Source organism: Homo sapiens, chromosome 12 (genome assembly GCF_000001405.40).
Source record: "Homo sapiens chromosome 12, GRCh38.p14 Primary Assembly".
Taxonomy (NCBI): Eukaryota; Metazoa; Chordata; class Mammalia; order Primates; family Hominidae; genus Homo; species Homo sapiens.
Window position 1 is genome coordinate 22006191 of NC_000012.12, and position 5195 is coordinate 22011385.

Here is a 5195-nt window from a genome sequence, read left to right on the forward strand (position 1 = left end):
TTTGATAGAGATTGCATTGAATCTGTAGATTGCTTTGGGTAGTATGGTCATTTCAACAGTATTAGTTATTCTAATCCATGAGCATGCTCTTTCCTTTTTTTTTCTGAGACAGAGTCTCACTCTGTTGCCCAGGCTGGAGTGCAGTGGCACAGTGGTACAATGTCGGGTCACTGCACTGCAACCTCCACCTCCCAGCTTCAAGTGATTCTCCTGCCTCAGCCTCCTGAGTAGCTGGGATTGTAGGCACATACCACCACACCCAACTAATTTTTGTATTTTTAGTAGAGACGGGGTTTCATCACGTTGGTCAGGCTGGTCTTGAATTCCTGACCTCAAGTGATCTGCCTGACTCGACCTCCCAAAGTGCTGGGATTAGAGGCATGAACCACCATGCCCAGGCTTCTTTTCATGTTTGTGTGTGTGTGTGTGTGTGTGTGTGTGTGTGTGTGTGTGTGTGTGTGTGTCTTCTTCAATTTATTTCATCTGCGTTTTGTGGTTTTGTTTTTTGGTGTATTTTGTTTTTTGTTTTTGTTTTTGTAAAGGTCTTTCACCTCCTTGTTTAAATTTATTCATAGGTATTTTACATTTTTTGGCTATTGTAAATAGAATTGTCTTCTTGATTTCTTTTTCAGATAGCTCATCATTGGTGTAAAGAAATACTACTAATTTGTGTATGTTGATTTTGTATTGTGCACCTTTGCAGAATTTTTTAACCAGTTCTAAGAGTTTTTTGGAGTAGTCTTTTGGTTTTCCTAAATATAAGATCATGTCATCTACAAAGAGGGACAATTTTAGTTCCTCTTTTCCAATTTGGATGTTGACATGGTTTGGCTGTGTCCCCACCCAAATCTCATCTTGAATTATAGCTTCCATAATTCTTATGTGTTGTGGGAGGGACCTGGTGGGAGGTAATTGAATCATGGCGGCAGTTCTCCTCATACTGTTCTCATGGTAGTGAATAAGTCTCATGAGATCTGATGGTTTTATAAGGGGGAAACTCCTTTTGCCTGGTTCTTATTTTCTCTCTTGTCTGTTGCCATGTAAGATGTGCCTTTCACCTTCTGCCATGACTGTGAGGCTTCCCTAGCCACGTGGAACTGTGAGTTCATGAAGCCTCTTTTTTTGTCATAAATTACCCAGATTGGGTAGGTCTTTAAAAGCAGCATGAAAACAGACAAATACAGTAAATCGATACCAGTAGAGTGGGGCACTGTGGTAAAGATATACACAAATGTGGAAGTGACTTTGGAACTGGGTAGTAGGTAGAGGTTGGAACAGTTTGGAAGGCTCAGAAGAAGACAGAAAAATGTGGGAAAGTGTAGAACTTCCTAGAGAACTTGGTCAAATCAGCATTTGACTAAAATGCTGATAATGATATGGACAATGAAATCCAGGCTGCGGTGGTCTCAGATGGAGATAAGGAATTTGTTGGGAATTGGAGTAAAAGTGACTCTTGCTTTATTTTAGCAAAGAGACTGGTGGCATTTTGCCCCTGACCTATAGATTTGTGGAACTTGGAATTTGAGGGAGATGATTTAGGGTATCTGGTGGAAGAAATTTCTAAGTAACAAAGCAGTCAAGATATGACTTGGGTGCTGTTAAAGGTATTCAGTTTTCAAAAGGGAAACAGAGCATAAAAGTTTGAAAAATTTGCAGCCTGATGATGTGATAGAAAAGAAAAACCCATTTTCTAAGGAGAAATTCAAGCCAGGTGCAGAAAATTGCATAAGTAACGAGGAGCCAAATGTTAATTGCCAAGACAACGGGAAAAATGTCTCCAGGGCATTTCAGAGACCTTTGAGCCAGCCCCTCCCATCACAGACCAGAGGCCTAGGAGGAAGAAATGGTTTCCAGGGCTGGGCCCAGGGCCCCCTTGCTGTTTGCAGCCTACAAACTTGGTGCCCTGCATCCCAAATGCTCTAGCCATGGCTAAAAGGGGCCAAGATACAGCTTGGGCTGTTGCTTCAGAGGGTACAAGCCCCAAGCCTTGGCAGCTTCCATGTGGTGTTGTTCTGTGGGTGCACAGAGGTCAAGAATTGAGGTTTGGGAACCTCTGCCTAGATTTCAGAGGATTTATAGAAATACCTGGATGTCAGGTAGTGTTCACTGTCCAGGGCTAGAGTAAGTGCGGTCCTCCGGCCCTTGTGGCCCAGAGCCATGCTGAGGAGCTGTGCTGCGTGCCTCCGCATGCTGGGGTCCCTGCGCCCACCACCGGTAGGCCTGCCCCTGCTGGGTAGTGAGCCGTGACCTGTGCTGACCCAAAGCTTATGAAAGAAGAACAGATATCACAGGCCCAGCTCTTCACCAGAAGCTTTGATGATGGCCTGGGCTTTGAATACATGATGTTCTAGAATGACATTGAGAAAAGGATGGTTTGCTTATTTCAAGGAGGCCCTTACCTGGAAGGACCACCTGGATTCGTTCATGGAGGTGCCATTGCAACGATGATTGATGCTACTGTTGGTATGTGTGCAATGATGGCTGGGGGAATTGTCATGACTGCCAATCTCAACATCAATTACAAAAGACCTATTCCTCTTTGTTCTGTTGTTATGATAAATTGCCAACTTGATAAAGTTGAAGGAAGAAAATTTTTTGTTTCCTGTAATGTTCAGAGTGTTGATGAGAAGACCTCATACTCAGAGGCAACAAGCTTATTTATAAAGCTGAATCCTGCTAAAAGTCTGACATAAAGAGCTGCTGGTGAACTCCATCTCATTCTCTCCCCTCCAGAAGAAGCAGTTGTCCCCTGAATACTCTGCTCCCTCACTGCTGAATCCCTGTAGGGAGAAGCCTGCCAACAGTGACCTTCTGAAACAGCCTTCTGAATACGAGGAGGATTCAGTTTCCATCTTCTCAACTTTTTAACACAGAAACACTTCCTGCGAGCATATCAACAACTCTTAGGCTGGGCACTATGGCTCACACCTATAATCCCAGCACTTTAGGAGGCCGAGGCAGGCGGATTGCCTGAGCTCAGGAGTTCAAGATCAGTCTGGGCAACACGATGAAACCCCATCTCTACTAAAATACAAAAAATTAGCTGGGCATGATGGCGTGTGCCTGTAGTCCCAGCTACTCAGGAGGCTGAGGCAGGAGAATTGCTTGAACCCGGGAGGCGGAGGTTGCAGTGAGCCAAGATCATGCCACATCACTCCAGCCTGGGCAACAGAACAAGAACCCATCTCAAAAAAAACAACAAAACAAAAAAAACTCTGTCTCAGGATATGTTACCTGCTCAACTGCGGACTAGAGAAATAAATGTGTATTGAAACTTTTGCTGCAAACTTCAAAATGCCAGAAAACCAAGCATGAAGAATAAATACATGGCGGGGAACACACAGGCATGTGCATATGCATATACATTGTAAGTTAGTAAGTTAGAAAGCTAGCTTTGTTGTATCTGAACACATGAATCTTTTTGATCAGAGTAGGAGGCACAGCCAGATCCTATAGGAATGAATACCTCAAATCTGTTTTCTGGGATTCTAGAGATTAAACCACTGTGCCATTAAAAAAAAAAAAAAATACCTGGATGTCCAGGCAGAAGTTTGCTGCAGGGGTCAGGCCCTCATTGAGAACCTCTGCTTAGGCAGTGCAGAAGGGAAATGTGGAGTTGAAGCCCCTACACAGAGTCCCCACTGGGGCACTGCTTACTGGAGCTGTGAGAAGAGAGTCATCGTCCTCCAGACCCCAGAATGATAGATCCACTGCTAGCTTGCACTGTGCACCTGGAAAAGCCACAGAAACTGAATGCCAGCCCATGAAAGCAGCCAGGAGACAGACTGAACCCTGAAAAGTCACAGGGGTAGAGCTGCCCAAGACCATGGGAAACCACCTCTTGCATCAGCATAACCTGGATGTGAGACATGGAGTCAAAAGAGATCATTTTGGAACTTTATGGTTTAATAACTGCCCTATTGGTTTTCGGATTTGCGCAGGGCCTATAGCCCCTTCATTTTGGCCAATTTCTCCCATTTGGAATTGCTGTATTTATCCAATGCCTGTATCTCCATTGTGTCTAGGAAGTAACTAACTTGTTTTTGATTTTTCAGGCTCATAGGTGGAAGAGACTTGCCTTGTCTCAGATGAGACTTTGGACTGTGGACTTTGAGTTAATGCTGAAGTGAGTTAAGAGTTTGGGGGACTGTTGGGAAGGCATGATTGGTTTTGAAATGTGAGGACATGAGATTTGGGAGGAGCCAGAAGCAGAATGATATTGTTTGGCTGTGTCCCCACCCAAATCTCATCTTGAATTTTAGTTCTTATAATTTCCATGTGTTGTGGGAGGTACCCAATGGGAGTGAATAAGTCTCATGAGATCTGATGGTTTTATAAGGGAAAAACCCTTTCACTTGGTTCTTATTTTCTCTCTTGTCTGCTGCCATGTAAGACATGACTTTCACCTTCTGCCATGATTGTGAGGCCTCCCCAACCACGTGGAACTGTGGGTTCATTAAGCCTCTTTTTCTTTATAAATTACCCAGTCTCAGGTATATCTTTGTCAGCAGTGTGAAAACAGACAAGTACAGATGTCTTTCATTTTGTCTTGCCTGATTGCTCTGGCTAAAACTTCCGGTATTGTGTTGAATAGTAGTAGTGAAAGTGGGCATCCTTGTCTTGTGCCAGTTCTTAGAGGAAAGGCTTTCAGCTTTTCCCCACTTGGTATGATTTTACCTTTAGCTGTGGGTTGGTCATAGATGGCCTTCACTCTGTTGAGGTATGTTTCTTCTATTATGAGTTTGTTGAGAGGTTTTATTATGAAGGGTTTTTGAATTTTATCAAATGCTTTTTATGTGTCTATTGAGATGATCATATAGTTTTTGTCCTTTATTCTGTTGATGTGATATATCATGTTTATTTATTTGCATATGTTGTGCATCCTTGCATTCCTGGAATAAATCCCACTTGACCATGTCATATTATCTTTTTCATTGTGCTGCTGAATTTGACTTGCTAGTATTTTGCTGAGGACTTTCCTTCTAATCTCAGTTTAAATATCACAGGAGCATCTCCTCAGAGATAAGACACCTAACTACATTAGAAGGTCATTGATACCATTACCATTAAAATGACAATAAACAGGCTGAGCGCTGTGGCTTATGCCTGTAATTCTAGCACTTTGGGAGACCAAAGCGGGTGGATCACTTGAGCCCGGGAGTTCGAGACCAGCCTTGGCAACATGGTGAAACCCC

At 43.3% G+C, this 5195-nt stretch overlaps 1 pseudogene; it reads left to right on the forward strand.

Moving 5' to 3' along the window:
• The first annotated feature begins 2267 nt into the window (after positions 1-2267).
• Positions 2268-3398, forward strand: THEM4P1 (thioesterase superfamily member 4 pseudogene 1; annotated as a pseudogene).
• The last annotated feature ends 1797 nt before the right edge of the window (positions 3399-5195 follow it).